Below are 21,400 nucleotides of genomic sequence, written 5' to 3' on the forward strand. Positions count from 1 at the left end.
CAAAGATGAAAAAAACAAGATGAGGCCAAAATCTTTATGGGAGCCTTGATTGGTTGATCTGAATAGGGGAGAAACACAAAGAGATTCAGATAAGAGATGGCACAGAGTTAAGCCATGACAGTGCGGCCAGAAAAGCCAAGTACCAGTAACAGAGGCTTCAGCAGCGCTCTTAAAGCTCCTATGCTATATTCGTACAGCCACAAAAGCTGGCTGAAGCCAAGGCTTGTCCTCCAAAGTACGATTCAAGTTCTCCTGTACATATGTAAGAGGAAAATCTTTAGGAGCTTTTGGTGTTTTGTGTTTTTTTATAACACAACATCAATTTGCTTTAAGACTCTGAAGACTGGGGACAAAAAATAAAAATAAATAACAAAAAATGTCTTTAGAAAAATACCAGCTACCAAGAGTATGTAAAGCTTTGCGAAATACGAAGCTTGCAACGTTTCTTTTAGTCTCTCCAGTAATTCTCCTGGTAATTTAAACACATCTGAAATAAATGTTTAAAATACTGACTGGGCACGGGGGCTCATGCCTATAATCCCAGCACTTTGGGAGGCCGATGTGGGTGGATCACCAGTGGTCAGGAGTTTGAGACCAGCCTGGCCAACACGGTGAAACCCCGTCTCTACTAAAAATACAAAAATTAGCTGGGCGTAGTGGCGGGCACCTGTAATTCCAGCTACTCAGGAGGCTGAGGCAGGAGAATCATTTGAACCCAGGAGGTGGAGGTTGCAGTGAGCTGAGATCGTGCCATTGCACTCCAGCCTGAGTGACAGAGCGAGACTCCGTCTCAAAAAAAAATTTTTTTTCAAAATATTGCGATGGGCTTGTAATTTCTGCTTAAATGTCAGGAGGTCTGAGCCATTTTAAAATAAATCTAGCACAATTTTAAGATTTTTTCTTAACCAAAATTTTAAGAAACAGCTTTCTATATACTCACCTCAGCATATGCTTCCATGTCTTCTAGAAACTGACCAAGAAGAGTCGTAGGAAATGCAAGATCAGCTACCCAAAATGGCTCCAAACTCTGCAACCACCCTTGGAATCGTATAAGAAATTGTGAAAGGGTAGGGGGGAGAAAAAACACCAAAAAATCCAAATTAAAAAAATATAAGAGGCTCGTTTTAAAAAGTATCTGGTTTTCAAGCAGCATACCCTAAAACATGTCCTATATCATAAAATTAAGACTGCTAAACATGCTGATCACGATTAACCAATACCTCTTTAATACCTCTTTAATTTCTGCAGAAATTAACTTGTAAATGTTATTTCCTTACTTTTTCAGTAAATTTCATATCTATATTGTCACTACACATGACTTAAGACTAAAATGCCACAATCTACCATTGGCCTGGCTAATCCCAGGGCCACATCTAACCATTAAAGGTGTATACTCATCTCCTCAGTGAAAATGAAACAGACCACTATCACCTGAATATCCTATTTTCAAAAGTTTATTACACCAAGTAAGTTACGAGAAACTATGACACTTGAAACAAGCTGAAATGTGCAAATGAGCCACGCTAGTCATTCACTTAAATCCAAAAAAATGGGAAACAAAACCATTTCTCATTTATGACAATTCTCCAAATTAACCCTATATTTCCTTTTTTAAAAAAATAACCAGAAAAACAATAAAATGTGACAAATAACTTGGATCTTCCATTGTCCACTTCAGGGTATTGCCACTGCAATATATTCTTACCATATACTTTCCTACCAGTACAAACTACAAATAACTTGGGTAAGTCCTGTCTGTACTTACTCTACCCACCTACTAGTAATTTCCTCTGAAAATATATATTTAGCTAACAAGTCACGTTCATTTACAATAAAACATTTCTCTGAATTAGTTTTCTTGCATTATTAAAGAAATGGTATTGGCCGGGCGCGGTGGCTCACGCCTGTAATCCCAGCACTTTGGGAGGCCGAGGCGGGTGGATCATGAGGTCAGGAGATCAAGACCATCCTGGCTAACAAGGTGAAACCCCGTCTCTACTAAAAATACAAAAAATTAGCCGGGCGCGGTGGCGGGCGCCTGTAGTCCCAGCTACTCGGGAGGCTGAGGCAGGAGAATGGCGTGAACCCGGGAAGCGGAGCTTGCAGTGAGCCGAGATTGCGCCACTGCAGTCCGCAGTCCGGCCTGGGCGACAGAGCGAGACTCCGTCTCAAAAAAAAAAAAAAAGAAATGGTATTGATAGATGGTCACTGGGGGACCACTGCTCCTCCCCGACAGTATTTAAATAACTGGTATAGGCTGCAAGACTTACCAGATACCTGCTGCGTGAGCGAAGGTTTCTGAGTATGATCTCTATGCCATCCAACTAATATATCAACTGTATCCTTGATGGAAACAAAGAGAGAGGGGGCCAATCATTTTAAGATATTACTGCCATTCACCTGTGGACCATTTCACAGCAAAAGATCCTAAAAGGAGCATCTATGTTCTACCTACTTGACATTCTAGAAACTTAGAAAGGGGAGAGGGGCAGGAAAATAAAAGAACTACATTTCTGACAACAATGAAATAGTTTATTTTCTTCAAATATTTTAAGGTACGAACGTCAGAAAGAAAAATGCGGCATTTAACCCTGGAACCTCAAATATCACTGATTATATTCAAAGGAGCAGAGGCATTGTTTTCCATCTGATTCCTCAGTTCCTCACACACACAACCATCCCCCTCACCCCATGATCTGAACAACGGAATGAGGAACTCACCCTAAAATTAGCGCTGAAAATATGAGGGTAACATCGAGCCACCAAAAGAATGCACTTAACACATTTGCAAAGCAATTCTGGTGTATCCACATTTTCAAGAATTGACTGCAGGCTGGTCATTACAAGCTTAAAAATAAAAGTTACAAACCGTGAACATTCAACAAAATAGGGAGAAAACAAGCAAATTAGGTTCATTATTTACTGACTACATAAAAAACTGAGTATGAGACCAAGAAAAATAGATTCTGTAGTTTTAGTTAAAAAAAAAAAAAAATTCACTTGTAAATCCCAACTGCTTGGGAGGCTGAGACACAAGAATCGCTTGAACCCAGGAGGCAGAGGTTGCAGTGAGCTGAGATTGCACCGCTGCACTCCAGCCTGGACAATACAGCCAGAGTCCATCTCAAAAAAAATAATAATTAATAAATAAATAAATAAATTGAAAATATTTCGCTCCACTAAGATGTTAAGCTAAAAACAAATACTGCTTTCTCCTCTTCAATGTTTGTTAATATTAGTCCTTTGACATCAGTTAACATTAGTCCTTAATAACATCTGTTTACAATATCCCTAAATGCTCTCTTTAAGATTCTACCTGTGATTAAATTTCAAATACAAAAAAGTAAAATGGATTTGGGAAACTTTTCTATAAAGTACAACAATTACTTTGCAATCCAAAATATAAAGCAAATTTTATATAATTTATGCTTTAGTATATTAGTACTTGCTTCATATTAAAATTAAAGAAGATCAGTATGGCACCACACATGAATAACATGCAGGCTCAGGTTACCATTATACATAAATTTTTAAAATAAATATATGGCAAAAATAAAATAATAAATAACTATTTGTCATTCCATTGAAAGAATATTTATTTTGCAGCTGTTAAAAAACATTTTTCCCTAAAAAAGGAAAAGCTGCGCTTTACATAGCAATCTTATAAAAGAAATGCTAGAATCAGAAAACCATCATTTTACGCTGGGTGCAGTGGCTCACACCTGTAACCCCAGCACTTTGGGAGGACGAGGCAGGTGGATCACCTGAGGTCAGGAGTTCAAGACCAGCTTGGCCAGCATGATGAACTCCGTCTCTACTAAAAATATAAAAATTAACAGAGCACAGTGGCACATGCCTGTAATCCCAGCTACTCAGGAGGCTGAAGCAAGAGAACTGCTTGAACCTGGGAGGCGGAGGTTGCAGTGAGCCGAGATCGCGCCACTGCCCTCCAGCTTGGACAATAGAGCAAGATTACATCTCAAAAAAAAAAAAAAAGAGAAAAAGAAAACCATTATTTTGCAATAGCCAATGTTATAATCTACACAGGCACAGACTATCAATGCTAAAAATCATTTAAAAGACATCTTAAGGGTAATTACAGAAATTTGAATATAGAACACATATGTAATAAAATTCATTTTCTTAGGTATGATTACAATATTCTTGTTATACAGAAGAAAAACCTTATTCTTGGGAGATGCATACTAAAACATTATGGGGTGAACTGTCATCATGTATATGGTTTTCAGATGCTCAACAAAAGTGTGTGAGAAAATAAAACTGTGGCAAAATATTAGTAACTGGTAAATCTAGGTGAAGCATATATTATGAAATTATTATCGTATTTACAGGTATTTATTTTACTGGTGCATCTATCTTTCTATGAATGTGAGAATTTTCACAAGAGATGGGAAAATGTTCATAATTATGCATGCAGAATAAGCCCAAGCTGGTGGCATTCTGTTCAGTTACAGGTAATTTTCTGAATCCTCCCTCAAATTTTTCTCAAACCTCTATAATCAAGGGGGAAAATGTTTCGTTTTGTTTTGCTTTTTTGAGACAGGGTTGCCTATAATGGAGTGCAGTAGCTTGACCACAGCTCACTGTAGCTTCAACCTCCCAGGCACAAGCGATCCTCCTGCCTCAGCCTCCAAGTAGCTGGGATTACAGATGCATGCCACCACGCCCGACTTTTTTTTTTTCCTTTTTTTGATAGAAACAGGGTTTCACCATGTTGCCCAGGCTGGTCTCAAACTCCTGGACTCAGGCAATTCACCGGCCTCAGCCTCCCACAGTGCTGGGGTTACAGGAGTGAGCCACCATGCCCAGTTAAAAATACATTTTTTATTTAAAAAAAAAAAAAAAGAACATTCCTTATATTTCCTTTATATTTTTTAAACTACATACCCAAAATAAAGCATATCAAAAACTGTATTAAAAAAAAAACCCTAATATCAGATATTCCAAACACAACAATACCATAATTTAATCACTTAAAATCTTACTCAAAACTAAATCAATGATCTTTTAGGCCAGGTGTGGTGGCTCATGACACTAATCACAGTACTTTGGGAGGCTGAGGCAGGAGGATCACTTGAGGTCAGGAGTTCAAGACCAGCATGGCCAACACAATGAAACCCCATCTCTACTAAAAATACAAAAATTAGCCAGGCTAATGGCACACTCCTGTAATACCAGCTACTCGGGAGGCTGAGGCAGGAGAATCGCTTGAACCTGGGAGGCAGAAGTTGCAGTGAGCCGAGATCATGCCACTGCACTCCAGGCTGGACAACAGAGCAAGACTCTGCATCAAAAAAAAAAAAAAGGAATGATGTTTTAATATATTCAGATACACAAATGTGAAATAAAACTAAGTAGAGCTGGTATTCATTTACACATAATTATCTTATACCATTTGGAATAAGAATTTGGGGCACGTTAGCAAACCAAAAGGCTCAGAAAGAAGTTGTGATATTTAGTTCTTGTCTCCCTCTACAAATGTGAAGCACTCTTCTATCCAGCATTCCTAGTGGAGTTCCTATTTTCAAATTTGCAAATCATTCTGGTCCTAAGCAATCTCAAAAAAACATTTCTAAAAACCAAAGAGGAAAAAAATCCTTTTTTTTTTTTTTTTTTTTTTTTTTTTGAGACAGAGTCTGGCTCTGTTGCCCAGGCAATGGTGTGATCTCGGCTCACTGCAACCTCGGCCTCCCGGGTTCAAGCGATTCTCCTGCCTCAGCCTCCTGAGTAGCTGGGACTACAGGCACGTGCCACCATGCCTGGCTAATTTTTGTATTGTTAGTAGAGACGGGGTTTCACCATGTTGGCCGGGATGGTTTCGATCCCTTGACCTCATGATGTTCCCACCTCGGCCTCCCAAAGTGCTAGGATTACAGGCATATAGGCCACCGCGCTTGGCTGAGGAAAAAAATCTTAAAACTAACTTATTTCAAATCTAACTTCAACGTGTATCTTTTTTTTTCTTTTGAGACAGAGTCTCACTCTGTTGCCCAGGCTGGAGTGCAGTGGCGCGATCTCGACTCACTGCAAGCTCCGCCTCCCAGGTTCACGGCATTCTCCTGCCTCAGTCTCCCAATTAGTTGAGACTACAGGTGCCCACCACCACGCCCGGCTAATTTTTTTTGTATTTTTAGTAGATATGGGGTTTCACTATGTTAGCCAGGATGGTCTCGATCTCCTGACCTCATGATCCGCCTGCCTCGGCCTCCCAAAGTGCTGGGATAACAGACGTGAGCCACCGCACCCGGCGTGTAAGCCAATTTCTTAGAAGAAATCTCTCCCTCTTTCTCCACATATATGCATATATGTATGTAGCACTAATCCTTGAACAGTGTATCCTTTACTCAAACTGAGAAAGAGGAATTTTTAAAACATATTTCCTATCAGTAGATAACCCCTATTCTATGTTTCCCTTCTTCAAGCTCCCCTCCAAGGACATGTGTTAAGGGACAATTTTCTTCCCAAGTACATCATGCATTTTTCCCCCTTCATTCTTACCTGCATTACAGATGAAAAGGCTTTCTTTTCTCCTACAGTCTCTAGTGCTTTGTAGGTGGCACATAAGTAGAGGAGTTTAACTTCATCTTTTGCAGATGAGCTAAATTTGCTAAAAATCCACTTGAAGATCTTCTCAGCCTCATAGCTCAGAGAAGCACAAAGAAGGCCAAGACAGCAAGCTCCCTCCTGTCTCAACTCCTGAAGCAATTTGCTACTGTGTTTATTTTAATGCAAACAAAAAACACACACAAAAGGCTTAAGTTTTCTATGATGACACGAGTAATACATCTTACAAAAGAATGTCTTAAGTGGTTTTTTAAATTTCTATTCAAACTACATAAAAGGTTGAAATTTTCTCCACTCTAAATACTACATTCTGTCTAGCCTGCATTGCCCTCAAGTATCTGTCTGACATTACTTTCTTTTTACAAAATCAATTATTTACAAACAGTGAGGGAAGGCCCAAAAATGCTAAATTCCATCTCAAACTGTATTAAATAACTCTCAGAAAAGGGCAGCAACAAATAATTAGATAAAACACTCTATACATAACTACATTCTACATAATATCCAATATGTAATGACTATAAAATAAAAAATGGTAATAGTTAAATACAGAAACTTAAAAGGATAACAGTAATGATTTACATAGAACTTTAATAAGTAACTCTATAAAACAAAACCATCAAAAGGCACTAAGGTTTATGACCAGCTGAGATAAATTTTGGGTACTTGCCAACACTGCAAATCTTTGGGAATCACCATAACAAAAAATGACCACACACCTCTGGAGACGCTAATAGCCAGAGAATATATGGTTTGGATCCACTCTTACCCAAAGAAGGAAATTCCTTTTTACCTCTATTCTCTAAGCAGTTTCAAATTCTCTAGTTTACAAAAACTAATTTTATTCTTCATGCCTGCATCAAGAGTTTATGCCATTCCATAAGTCAAGACTCAGTTATCCAGTGAGACTAGTAAATTAAAAAAATAAAATATTCCAGCCAGGCACGGTGGCTCATGCCTGTAATCCCAACACTTTGGAAGGCTAAGGTGGGTGGATCACCTGAGGTCAGGAGTTCCAGACCAGCCTGGCCAACATGGTGAAACCCTGTCTCTACTAAAAATACAAAAATTAGCTGGCAGTTGTGGTGCATGCCTGTAGTCCCAGCTACTCGGGAGGCTGAGGCAGGAGAATCACTTGAACCCGGGAGGTGGAGGTTGCAGTGAGCTGAGATCGCACCACTGCACTCCAGCCTGGGCGACACGGTGAGACTCTGGCTCAAAAAATAAATATTCTTTTCAAGTGGATTCCATTTGTATTCAACCGTAATTAACACATAATTAATGCAGATAAAAATGACAAGACCCACTGAAATGTCAATAGATGTTCATAAACAAAGCCAGTGGGTTTGTCTTCTTGTGTATTGTTAAGTAATTTCTAAAAATATATTTTAAAGTCATTTAAACCGAACCATTATTAGTTACTTACCTTTCATTAAGCACATCATGTGCAGCAGCCAAGATATTATCCAATTGTTTAACTAGTACCTTTAAAAGAAAACACATTTATAAAAACTTCAAATTCCTATACTTTTAAGAATAGCATTGTGTACTTTTTTACTTGTCTTCCCCTCCAAATTCTAATTCAACAGTACTTTACTTTCTTTATTATTCCCACTCCCCAATGAGCATGTATCAGGAATGTCATGTTTCCTTTCAGCCTATGAAAGAAATTCACCCACTGGAAACATAGAGCTGTGATCATCAACAAAAAAATAAACTCAAAAAGTTTGTTTTATTTACTTTGAAATCCATTTGAAAAATTGACTGATGGATGGAGGGATAGATGGAGAGATATGTGACAAGGCAGTATTTAGGGCAAAACATTAACGACAAAAATTAGATGATGGGTTTAACAGATTCAATGTCAAATTCTTTCAACTTGCTATATATTTGAAACTACTCATAATAAAATTTGGAAGGAGGAGAAACTTGCTTTGATCCAAGTGTCATCTGCCTCACTAGACCATTTTCATTAATTTTCTCCTGCTCATTGTCAAGTTCTTTTTTTTTTTTTTTTTTTAAGATGGAGTTTCACTCTTTTCGCCCAGGCTGGAGTGCAATGGCGTGATCTCAGCTCACTGCAACCTCCGTCTCCTGGGTTCAAGCGATTCTCCTGCCACAGCCTCCCATGTAGCTGGAATTACGGTCATGTGCCACCACGCCCAGCTAATTTTGTATTTTTAGTAGAGATGGGGCTTCACTATGTTGGGCAGGCTGGTATCGAACTCCTGAACTCAGGTGATCCGCCCACCTTGGCCTCCCAAAATGCTGGGATTACAGGCATGAGCCACCACACCTGGCCCATATCAAGTTCTTAATTGGTGTAAAGAAAGTGAAGAAAAAAATTTAACCCTTCCTATACTTTGTTACATTTCTGTTGTTGTTTTAAGAGACAAGGACTCCCTCTGTCGCCCAGGTTGACATGCAGAGGTGTGATCATATCTCACTGCAACCCTGAATTCCTGGGCTCAAGTGATTCTTCCACCTCAGCCAGGTGTAGTGGCACATGCCTGAAGTCCCAGCTACTCAGGAGGCCACAGCGGGAGGATAGCTTGAATCCAGGAGTTTGAGACTGCAGTGAGCTATGATTGTGCCACTGCACTCCAGCCTGGGTGAGAGCAAGATCTTGTCTTTAAGAAGAAAAAGAAATTACATATTAGAGAGCATTAAGTTCTTGATCATCATAATACAGACTTTCCCCATTCTTAAACTACTCAAGGTAGCATTACCTAGTTTATTATGGAAACACAAAAATCCTCATATTTCCAAACATACTATACTTACCAGCTTATTTTCTGGTTGCTGAATAAATTCTTTCAACTGCTTTACAGTGACCAATCTTCAGTCTCTGTCGTCTTCCCGGGTGATCCTCCGAAGAAGATTTGACAGTCGAGACTCATCACAATAAGACATCGATCTCTCTGTGAATATATAAACATTTTGTTGTCCATTGAGTATAAATAAGCAAAGGAATTTTTAAATTTTAAAATAATTTTTAAATTTTTAAAATTAAAAATTATTTAAATAATAATTAAATTATTATGGTGGCTCATGCCTGTAATCCCAGTACTTTGGAAGGCGGGTAGATCACATCAGTTCAGGAGTTTGAGACCAGCCTGGGCAACATGGTGAAACCCTGTCTCCACAGACACACAAAAAATTACATAAACTAGCCAGCCAAGGTGGTGTGCACCTGTAGTCCCAGCTACTCGGGAGGCTGAGGCAGGAGAATCACTGGAGCCCATGAGGTGGAGGTTGCAGTGAGCCGAGATCACCCCACTGCACTCCAGCCTGGGTGACAGAGCAAGACCCTCTCTCAAAAATAAAATTACATCAAAAGTCACAGTCCACTGGTCAATAAAAGCTCAGGGAATATAGGTCCTATCGCTCTTTTGTTCAACTCTATATTCCAAATCCCAGCAGAGTGCCTGGCACATAACAGACCCTCAAAAAAATATTTGCTGAAGGAAACGAGAAATGAATAACCCTAGGCCAGCTGAACACCTCATTCCAGAGGACTGGCTGGGAGAGAAAAAAGAAAGGCCTTAGTAACAACTTCCTTTGGGTCCATTCCAAACTGTTTTCAACATGCAGGTAAAGAGCCTGGGTGTAGGTAAATTAAACAACTTCCAAGGGGTACGGATAAAGCCTCAATCGAGTAAAAACAGGATATAGGCTTCTACTTATCATCTAGGTATCCCACTGGAGGAAAGCCTCTTATTCACATTATCATCATTTCCCTGGGATGAAGTTTTGGGGAGCCATAATCACACATTTAGTTCAACAAATGTCTAATTATCATCTACCACATGCAAGGCATGCCTCCACTAGAAAGGTAGCAAACCACAACTTTTCTCCCCTTATTTTTTAATCACAAGAACAAGCACACAATAGTGAATACTATTAGTATATTAACAATGCCTTTAAAAACTAGATTTTTGCTGGGCGAGGTGGCTCTTCCCTGTAATTACCCAGCACTTTGGAAGGGCAAGGCAGGCAGATCACTTGAGCCCAGGAGTTCGAGACCAGCATCGGCAACATGGTACAACCCCATCTCTACGAAAAATACAAAAATTAGCTGGGCACAGTGGCACATGCCTGTAATCCCAGCTACTCAGGAGGCTGAGGTGGGAGGATCGCTTTAGCCTGGGAAGCAAAGGTTGCAGTGAAATCACACTAGTGCATTCCAGCCTGCGTGACAGAGCGAGACTGTCTCAAAAAACAAAACAAAACAAAAAACTCAATTTTTGCAAAACATTTTCAACTGTGCTATTTACCATAATTAGCCAATACATACGTAAACAACAAATCACAAAGGGTCTGACAGTTTCATTTCTAAGGTATGAGAAAAAATTGATAATAAAAGAAACCAGAAGGCTGGGCGTGGTGGCTCACACCTGTAATCCCAGCACTTTGGGAGGCCGAGGAGGGCAGATCACGGGGTCAGGAGATTGAGACCTGCCTGGCCAACATGGTGGAACTTCGTCTCTACTAAAGATACAAAAAATTAGCCGGGCATGGTGGCACGCTCCTGTAATCCCAGCTACTCGGGAGGCTGAGGCAGGAGAATCACTTTAATCTGGGAGGTGGAGGCTGCAGTGACCTGAGATCGCGCCATTGCACTCCAGCCTGGGTGACAGGGAGATACTCCATCTCATAGATAAATAAATAAATAACTACAAGGGGAGCAAAACACACTGGATCCTTTTGGAGGGTGGGGGGTGGGAGGAGGGAGAGGATCAAGAGAAACAACCAATGGGTACCAGGCTTAATACCTGGGTGATAAAATAATCTATACTACAAACCCTCATGACACAAGTTTACCAGTGTAACAAATCTGCACTTGTATCCTGAATTTAAAAGTTAAAAAAAAAAAAAAAAAAAAAAAAGAAACTACAATGTCTGAGAGAAGAATAGGATTTTTACAAATCCGTAGCCCATAGAGTATTTCAATAAGGACAGATACCAAAAATGTCATCAAGTTACCAGCTGGGAAATTAGGCTCTACTTACAATTCTGTCACTAGCAAACTACCTTTGAAGAAGAGGAATTGTTTACTGAACTACTTTAGAGTCACTGTTTAGCTTCTATAATATCATAAGTCTAAGGCTTCAAACACTCTGTTTTAACAAACAGCATACATAGCCTTTGAATTCATTCCACTTGTGAAAACATAAAAAGAAATCAGTTTTTTAAAAGTTATATACCAACAATAAAAGCTACAGGCACAAAGATTTTCACCAAGATACACGAAGCACACACACAGTATAAAAAAAAAAAAAAGTCAAAAACTAAATGTCCAAAAAGTAATTACATCTGACAAAGCCCATAACTCAGCTTTACCGATAAATTTCTCTTTAAGGAAAAAAATTATCATTACCTCTAATCCTCTGAACTTTCTTTTTTGTTGTTGTTTTTTTGAGACGGAGTCTCGCTCTGTTGCCCAGGCTGGAGTGCAGTGGTGCACTCAGCTCACTGCAAGCTCTGCCTCCCGGGTAGCTGGGACTACAGGCGCCCACCACCGCGCCCAGCTAATTTTTTGTATTTTCAGTAGAGACAGGGTTTCACCGTGTTAGCCAGGATGGTCTCGATCTCCTGACCTCGTGATCTGCCCGTCTCAGCCTCCCAAAGTGCTGGGATTACAGGCGTGAGCCACTGCACCCGGCCAATCCTCTGAACTTCCAAGGCACTCACCTATACAGTGAGGCTACGCCATAAGGCAGAAATGCTATCAGTGTATTTAACTTTAGAAAAGTGCCCACTCTAGGCAGGGCCCAGTGGCTCACGCCTGTAATGAGCACATGTGATCACTTAAGGTCAGGAGTTCGAGACCAGCCTGGCCAACATGGTGAAACCCTGTCTCCACTAAAAATGCAAAAATCAGCTGGGTGTGGTGGCATGTACCTGTACTCCCAGCTACTTGGGAGGCTGAGGCACGAGAATCACTTGAACCTGGGAGGCGGAGGTTGCAGTGAGGAGAGATTGCAGCACTGCGCTCCAGCCTGGGTGACAGAGCAAGACTCTGTCTCAAAAAAATATATTGAAAACAACAACAAAAAAACCAGAAAAGTACCCACTCTAGGGGGCGGGGGGAAGGAGAGCATCAGCAAGAATAGCTTAATGGATGCTGGGTTTAATACCTAGATGATGGGATGATCTGTGCAGCAAACTATCATGGCACACGTTTACCTACATAACAAACCTGTACATCCTGCACATGTACCCTGAACTTAAAAGAGAAAAAAAAAAAAAAGACAGAAAAGTACCCCCTCTATATATATATCTATATCCTCCACAGGCCCAAGAGTTCAAGGACTTGCTGTAGTAAGAGCCTACTATGCACTATACATTCAATATCCACGATAATTGGGTAAACCTTTTCTGTAAGATCTTATCCAGTCTTCTAATCTTGTTTTAAGAGAATTCTCTTTTAAAATGTACTATAACCTTTCTAGTGGGAAATTAACAATTCACAGGAAAAGAATGTAAACAATTTTTACCTGCACAGTAGACTAATCAACTTATGCCTGTGCAAGGCGTTAGTAAGAGGCATCCAGAATAAGAGGAGATACAAGTCTTTGGAAGGTGTATGTGATTGGTCCCCATTTTCCCAGACTTACCCTGTGATTTCCTCATGTCTTTGGTGGCTAAAGCACGACTGCCATGCTGAACACTGGTGAACTCAGGGCTGGTCACATTGTTAACCCTCAGCTCTTGCCCCAACGACTTCCGACCATAAGTATTTTCCCCAGATCCTCCATTGACACTGTAGCCACCTACAAACAGCAATGTGTACGTTATTTAAATATGATTGTTCGTTTCATTCAGTCAATTTCCTGATAGCTCAGGATCTTACTACTCAATCTGCAGCTCAACCAGCCTTTGCTTCTCCTACCTTTTTCCTGTACTGTCTGCCTTGAAAATCATTTTCATTTCTTTTAATACACCTTTGAAGTTAAATTAATTTTATTTTGATCCCTTCATTGGAAAATAAGCAAAGAAATGAAAACTAAATTAAATCAAATTTTGCACCTTAAAACTTTCTTGAAGTTTAGAGACAGTAGCCAAGAGGAACTTCAACCTTAGCTAAATATTTTTGAAAATAAAAACAAAAATAGTATTGTATCTTTTTTGTAAGAAAACTGCATTGATGAATTATGTACGGAAAAATTTTAAATTTTAAAAATAATAAAGTGGATAAACGTCCTATGAAGTTTTCAGAAATAACACTGCATTTGTTATTCGTATTTTAAATATATTAGAAGAAAGCGAGAAAGTTGGGGGTGTAAGAAGGCAAGAAGGTGGGATAGGTAGGTTCAAAAAACATGCTTGTAGCAATAAGAAAATATATATACCCTTTTCGTCATTCTGTATGTCAGCGTGGACTCTGGTATCATCGTGCCTTTGCCGAGACACCACAGCTGAATTTGAAGGTTGCAGTCCGTAAGAGGAAGAACCACCTCTATCTCTGGATGAAGAATATTTTAAATTACCTGGGTCAGCTGATGCACTATCAGTTCTATAAAAAGAGAAAAGTTTAAGATTAGAACTTTAAATAACATAAATAAATCTTTCTTTAAACAAGCCTCTCTTCTCCCAAATTTTACATTTAACCATTACTATTGTATTTAATGTAATATGTACTATATATTATATGTAAGCACTCAGCCGTCTAATAAGAAGTCTTTCACTGGGAAGAGATTCTCAATGGATGAAATGCCAACTTTTCAGTCTCTTCTACTGTTCTAAAGACCCATTCAGAAATACGAATAACTACTGGGATTAGGGTGACTTTGCTGGTTTTAGCATTGAAAGCCTCCTGTCCCAGGCAAAACAGGACAATTGGTTACTCTGGTCCAGTGTTCTCCTCACATGACTTGATAATAAGAATAATTCTTTCTAAATTCTCCCCCATGGAGAGGGTTAATCAGTCAAAACATTTCAGCCTTTCCTATCATAAAAATAAAAAACACTGGCAGCATGTCAGGGACAGGCAATGTCTTACCAAGTTATTTTCTAAGTACTGATTAGGTACTGTAGTATTGAAGACCCCATTGAAGATGCCTTAATTGTAAAGGTAGCAATCAAAATTTTAAAAAGTAAAAAAGAAGACATTTTAAGAAAATAAAAGGTATCAGAAATGCAATAACGTTATATCGGAAAGTTGTAGTTCATAATCTATTTAAAATTTAGGTACTGTTTAGAATAATACCTGATGCTTATTAGTAAACAAGTAGGGTACAGCCAAGGGTAAAAGTTTGTCCTCATCTAAGTATCTGCTCTACGCTTCAACTGCCTCATAAGTAAAACAGAGCTGAGTTACAAGACTTCTCACGAGTGTTACTCTTTCAGCCATCAATCATAAACTATTAAGAAAGAAGACAACAAAATAATCTGTTATAGCATATGAAAAATCCAAGTAAGTTCTTCCCCTACTGATTTTCTCCTGAGAGGAACAACTTTGAGGAAAAAAAAAAAGAAAATCACTTCTATGATATTTACTAAAAATGCTTTCTCAACCTTTTAGAACCTGAATCTTTTAGAAAAGTTTAGGACACTGGCAAGGCCAGAAACTAACCTATTCCTCTACGCTTTGCCCCTCTATGGTGTAAAAGTGACAGCAGTGTTTGTATACTGTATATATTTCATTTAGAGTTTATTAGTCTTTCCTTGCTCCCAAAAATACTAAACATAAAACTTTGCATGAGCTCAATCAGTTGGACACCTTGATCTGCACTTACTGCAATCACTGTTAATACAGAATGCAGACAATAGGTCCAATTAAACTTGGATATCTAACTGGTACAAGTCATTACTTACAAAGGATCTCAATCTGAAACTTCATGAAATTCAAAACCTAGCATACTAAAATGACTACGGCTCCATAAGGAGTACCTTCTAATATTCAGAGTTCGCTTATTCATAAAGCTAAGTACTTCGAACATAAGGGAAAATTAAATCTATGGAATTTCAAGAAAAATGTATGAGAATATTTTCTGAGTATACTAAGTCTATAAGCATTAAAATATTAACTCAATGGACCATAACTTTTTTAAACTAATGAAAAGACATTCCTTATGTACCTAAAAATAGCACATTTAACATGCGTCTATATAAATCATAGCATACCATTACTTTCTGAAAGGAGACTGAAATGTAAGAGAGCTTATAATCTTTTCTGACAGGGTGTGAACTTTATATGTACGCCACAGTAAGCTCTTATTAGATGAGCAAATAAAATAAGCACTTGACTAATTCAGAAACACAAAGATAACTGAAGTCTGCCAATATTTAAACATATCTTCACTTCCTGTTTTCATCATGTTTACTTATCTCCTATACTACCTTTACTATTAAGAGTTAAATGTTTGTATCATTTTCTGGTGACACAGTAGTACCATAAGGCAGCAGAGAATACAAGTTAAAAAAAGATCTGGGCTCAAATCCCAGCTCCAGCACTGAAAAGTATGTGTGCCTTTGCACAAATTACTTGATCTCCAAGCCTTGGTTGTCTCTTGCATAAAATGAGGATGATACCTATCTAACATGTAAGGTTGTTGTGAGGCTTAAATAAGATAATGAATTATAAAGAAACACTTAGTTTGCAGGGTATGTTAAAAGTTATTATGACCATAATACAAAATAAACTCAGTTTCCAGTCTAAAAGACAATGTACAAACAGTTCATGAGTATATGAATATAATCAAAACAAGTTTTTACAGTCAATATAGAGCAACTTAAATACTTCACTGAAGAAAGCAGGTAATCTGTGGCTACCAACAATGTGTTTCCAACTAGGAAGCATCTGATTTCAAACTAAACTGTAAAACCAGGAGCAGCTTCCCCATTGGTTAGAAATAAGGTTTCTAAATCCCCTAAGTTATGAACACTGAGATTTTTTTCCCAAAAAAATTTGTGTTTTCAGAAATATAGCAAAAAAACTGGAATAGAGCCACTGTCTCAGAAATACCTGAAAACTCCCTAGCTGCCAAATTATTTTAATACAAATTGATCAAAGCATCCCCAACCAGAACTCAGGTTGTAAGCATTCTGAACCTAAAAGCACAAAATGGTTTAGCATTTATACGAAATTTCTATTTTTATACAATCTTGACTGCTTAGGTTTCAAAAAATGTCAATGTCAGGCTGTTAGCACCAACAAGATCATCCCAGTCCAATAAATAGAAAACTGTTAAAGAACGGGAATGAGAACTTAAAATGAGGCAATCAAAGCCACAAAATAGAAACTGCAGATTTGAACTCCAAGAAGCAGGCATGAATGTTAGGCTAGTTAGTTAGAAGAGCTGAAAGGGATATCATCTGCCAGAATTAGTGTCTCAATTTAGTGAAAAAAGAAAATCTATCTGTTAAGTCTAAGAATCCTAACAAGGATCCAAAAATACTTCTACAGCCCCTTTAATATTCTAAAAATATCATGGAGAGAAAAAAAAAGAAATGCATAAATTTCCCCAAAACGATCAAACTAAAGTTAAAGCCTGAGGTACATGCCACATGAGAGGTAAGTTTCTAAAGCTCATACCTCAAAAATCGCATACTGTGTAACATGGAGCCTTTGTGATGTTTTGCATCAAGTCAATCTGTAAGACAGTAGTTACAATATTAGTGAAGACAGTGGGTTAAAACATTTGTTGTTCAAACATGGAGCAAATATCATTCATGAGTTAGGTGCCTTTAGTTGAACTATGGTCCCATTAGGGTTCATACATTAAAGCAAAAATTGAGGTGGAAAGCCACTCCGTGCCTTACAGGATAAAGAGGCTTAATGTGGCAACCAAAAAATTTTTAGTACATAAGAGAATTTAAATGTTAACTATAACATACAAATCACATGCAAATATAGTTACCACTTATTTTAGTTACCTCTTCTCAATATACAGAAAAATGCCACAAATCTAGGAGGCCACTGGTTTCAAATGACCGGAATCCTTAGACCTCACACCAACAATCCACCATGTGGTGGGGATGGTATCGCCTGACTAAATGTAGTCTTGCAGTCCATTCTTGTAAGTATTAGAGAGAAAAAGAGAGAGAGCGTCATCTCTGCAAAGTGTGAAGTCAGGGACTTCCCTACTAGGAAGCATTTCCATAAAGCACCCCAAAATGACTTGATGCAAACACCACACCTAGTGGTGTCACTGGAGTAAGCATCATATTACTTCAAATTGCTTTTACCTAGGTTTATTAAGGGATTTTGCTCTCATGCTGAGATCTAATTTGTAATGGATATAAACCAGGAAATGAGATTTGCACTAAAGCCAATGAAGTAGGAATGTACTTATTCTCTAAAGTAGCAAAGATAGTCTCACTGTCACAGAGCAGTTATAGGATATGTTGCTTTCCATACTAATGGTTAATACCACTTGGAAATGATTTACCCTTCAAAAATAAATTCAAGGTTTTCCCCTGTAATGCCTCTTACCTGGATTCAAACATGCTTTAATGAGGAATAAGAGAAAGGGTGAAACTATGAATAACCCCGGGCCTTGTATCATTACATTAGAAACACTGCTCTAAATATGAGTCTATGGCTAAAATATTAATTTGAGAGGCTCAGGGAATTTATTATACAAATCTCTTCTTGCAGAGAACTTTAAGTTCAAATTTAATAAAACAAAACAGAACCATTCCACGTCAAAATTGTAAATGAGTATGCATCAGTTTTGCAATACTGAGATACTAAATTAATATAATTTATTGGTAAAACTAGTTTAACTACCTCAGTATTAAGTGTCTATAATAACCAAATCTTAATTATCCATTTATGGGTGATTTGTTTCCTTTTTTGAGACAGGGTCTCACTCTGTCACCCAGGCTGGAGTGCACTGGCATGACCATAGCTCACTGCAGCCTCGACTTCATGGGTTCAGCCTCTCAAACAGCTGGGACCACAGGTGCATGCCACTCCATTTAGCTAATTTTTTATTTTTATGTTTTTTGGAGACAGGTGTCTGATTATGTTGCTCAGGCTGCTCTCAAATTCCTGGACTCAAGCAATCCTCCTACCTCAGCCTCCCAAAATGCTAGGATTAGAGGCATGAGTGACCACATCTGGACTGTCACCAATTTTTAACTGTCTCTCAACTAAACAGCCAATATAGACTGATAAAATATACTTAACTATTGTAAAATTGTAAAGAATTGTATCTTCACCAAGGAGAGGTCTGGCTTTTACCTGTGAATTCTGGAAGGTAATCTCTAAACTCTTGAAATGTCATACCTAATAAGAGGGTCCTGGCCAGGAGCAGTGGCTCACACCTGTAATCCCAGCACTTTGGGAGGCCAAGGCGGGCAGATCGCTTGAGGTCAGGATTTTGAGACCAGCCTGGCCAGCATGGTGAAACCTGTCTCTACTAAAAATACAAAAATTAGCCAGGCATGGTGACGGGCACCTGTAATAATCCCAGCTACTCAGGAGGCTGAGGTTTCAGTGAGCTGAGATCATGCCACTGTACTCCAGCCTAGGCAACAGAGCAAGACTATCTCCAAAAAAAAAAGGGGGGGGGGGCGGCGGTGGGGGGAAAGTGTCCTTGTTCATCTGGGGGCTTTAGGCCACAGCAGAGTCTAATAATGTGGCTTATGGTGGGGGCTTTGAGTCACATGGATCAGCTTGACCTCCAGTGGGGCTGGAGACTAAGGTTAGCCACATGGGCATGCAACCATGGAACCCCAGTAAAAACGTTGGACATAAAAAATAGAGTGAGCTTCCCTGGTTGGCAATAATCCATGAGTATGGTCGCACACCAGTGCCACCAGGAAGGTGTCATTTTTCACAACTCTACAGGGACAGGACAATTCAAAACTCCAACATTTGGAACTTCCCCGAACTCTGCCCTATGCACCTCTACCCTTGGCTCATTCTAATCTGAATCCCTAAACTGCAATAAACTCTAACTATGGGTATGAGAGCTTTCAATGAGTTCTGGTGAGTCCTCCTGGCAAATCATCCAACCTAAGAGTGGTCTTGGCCAGGCACAGTGACTCAAGCCTGTAATCCCAGCACTTCGGGAGGCCCAGGCAGGCGGATTACTTGAGCTCAGGAGTTTGAGACCAGCCTGGCAATATGGTGAAACTGTCTCTAAAAAATATAGAAAAACTAGCCAGGCGAGGTGGTGTGTGCCCATAGATCCAGCAACTCAGGTGGTTGAGGTAGGAGGACTGCCTGAACCTGGGAGGGAGGAGGTCAGGGCACAGTGAGCCGTGATCATGCCACTGCACTCTCGCCTGGGTGACAGAGAGAGGCCCTGTCTCAAAAAAAAAAAAAAAGAGTGGTCTTGGGAACCCCCAAACTTGCAACTAGTATTAGAAGCAAGGGTCATCTTATGGACTGGACTCCCTCTTACTCTGCACTCATATTTAAAACCATTAAATATACTGTAGCTCAAAAAAAATTGCTCCTTTGTTTTGAAAAAGGGTCTCACACTGTCGCCCAGGCTAGAGTGCAGTGGCGCAATCCGAGCTCAAGCAAACCTCCCACATCAGCCTCCCAAGTAGCTGAGACCACAGGCTTACCCCACCACGCCCAGCAACTTTTGTATTTTTTTGTCCCATTCTCTACAACATTCCCAAAATGTTGCCCAAGCTGGTCTCGCACTCCTGAGCTCAAGTGATCCACTCACCTCAGCCTCCCAAAGGGTTGGGATTACAGGCATAAGCCACTGCACCCGGCCATAAATTTTGTTTTTTAGTAACATTTCTAGCAAACATGATAAAGATTTGACTTCAGTGTTGCTTATTTTCCTTCCAAGGAACCTCTAATATTCTCTATTTTCAGAACTCCAATCAAATTAGCCAGAAAGAGCAAACGAAGCCAATAAATCTAGGAGGGCAATAGATCTGATTTTAACCCTTGTTTCACATGCACAATTGTCTTCAGAGAAAAGCTGAAGAAAGTACCCCCTCACCTCCATGCCCCAATGCTCCTTTTCTCTGACTTCAAGTGGGCCTCTGATGCTGCCCACATTTCCCTCACCAGGTTTCTTTCCTTTCCAAAACATCTGTAAAACTTTCTGCACCTTCTTCCTTCTCCCACCACTACCAGTGGATGACCTTATAGATTTCTGCTCCATGAGAAATAGAAGCCATTTGACAGCACCCTCAGCAAGAGCTAACATTTTAGCTCCTAACAAGAGCTAGTGGGCAACTGATCCAAGCAGTTTACAAATGTTTATCATGTCATTTCGTGTTCAACACAATCCTATTAGTTATAACTTGATAACTAAGGTTTCATAACTGGCCTAAGGTTGCACAGCTTGTAAAAGGCAGAGTCAGAACTCAGACCCAGTACTGTCTAATGTTTGAGCTCTTCAACACTCCATCGCTGCCTGTCATCTTCCTTCTAATATATCCACAAATTCACCTGCATCTGCACATACACCTTTTCTTCCCATCATCTTCCCATAATGGAACAAATAAACCTCCTATCCATAGAAATCATCTGGATCTGTCTATTCCCCCCATTTTCCAAGGTATGTCTTGTCTTTTTTTTTTGAGATGTAGTCTCGCTCTGTCGACCAGGCTGAAGTGCAGTGGCGTGATCTCGACTCACTGCCTCCCGGATTCACGCCATTCTCCTGCCTCAGCCTCCCGAGTAGCTGGGACTACAGGCGCCCACCACCACGCCTGGCTAATTTTTTGTATTTTTAGTAGAGACGGGGTTTCACCATGTTAGCCAGGATGGTCTCGATCTCCTGACCTCGTGATCTGCCCACCTTGGCCTCCCCAAAGTGCTGGGATTACAGGCTTGAGCCACTGCACCTGGCCTGTTTCTTTTGTACGTTGCAAAATCTCCCATTTT

General features: G+C 39.5%; 1 pseudogene across 2 annotated transcripts in view; it reads right to left on the reverse strand.

Annotated features, from left to right (window-relative positions):
• The window catches only part of SMG1P2 (SMG1 pseudogene 2), a 68,707-nt pseudogene that overhangs the window by 7,135 nt on the left and 40,172 nt on the right, over positions 1-21,400 (reverse strand). The window contains exons 2-10 of one of the 2 annotated variants that reach the window (NR_135305.1): positions 17,126-17,183; positions 13,941-14,104; positions 13,206-13,361; positions 9,370-9,506; positions 8,012-8,070; positions 6,520-6,733; positions 2,722-2,847; positions 2,271-2,343; positions 941-1,038 (exon numbers count right to left, since the gene is read on the reverse strand). The product of NR_135305.1 is annotated as an SMG1 pseudogene 2, transcript variant 2 (transcript). The remainder of the gene's footprint in view (positions 1-940; positions 1,039-2,270; positions 2,344-2,721; positions 2,848-6,519; positions 6,734-8,011; positions 8,071-9,369; positions 9,507-13,205; positions 13,362-13,940; positions 14,105-17,125; positions 17,184-21,400) is intronic. The other variant, NR_135317.1, reaches the window with a different exon arrangement.

The sequence above is a fragment of the Homo sapiens genome, chromosome 16 (genome assembly GCF_000001405.40).
Source record: "Homo sapiens chromosome 16, GRCh38.p14 Primary Assembly".
NCBI classification, from domain to species: domain Eukaryota; kingdom Metazoa; phylum Chordata; class Mammalia; order Primates; family Hominidae; genus Homo; species Homo sapiens.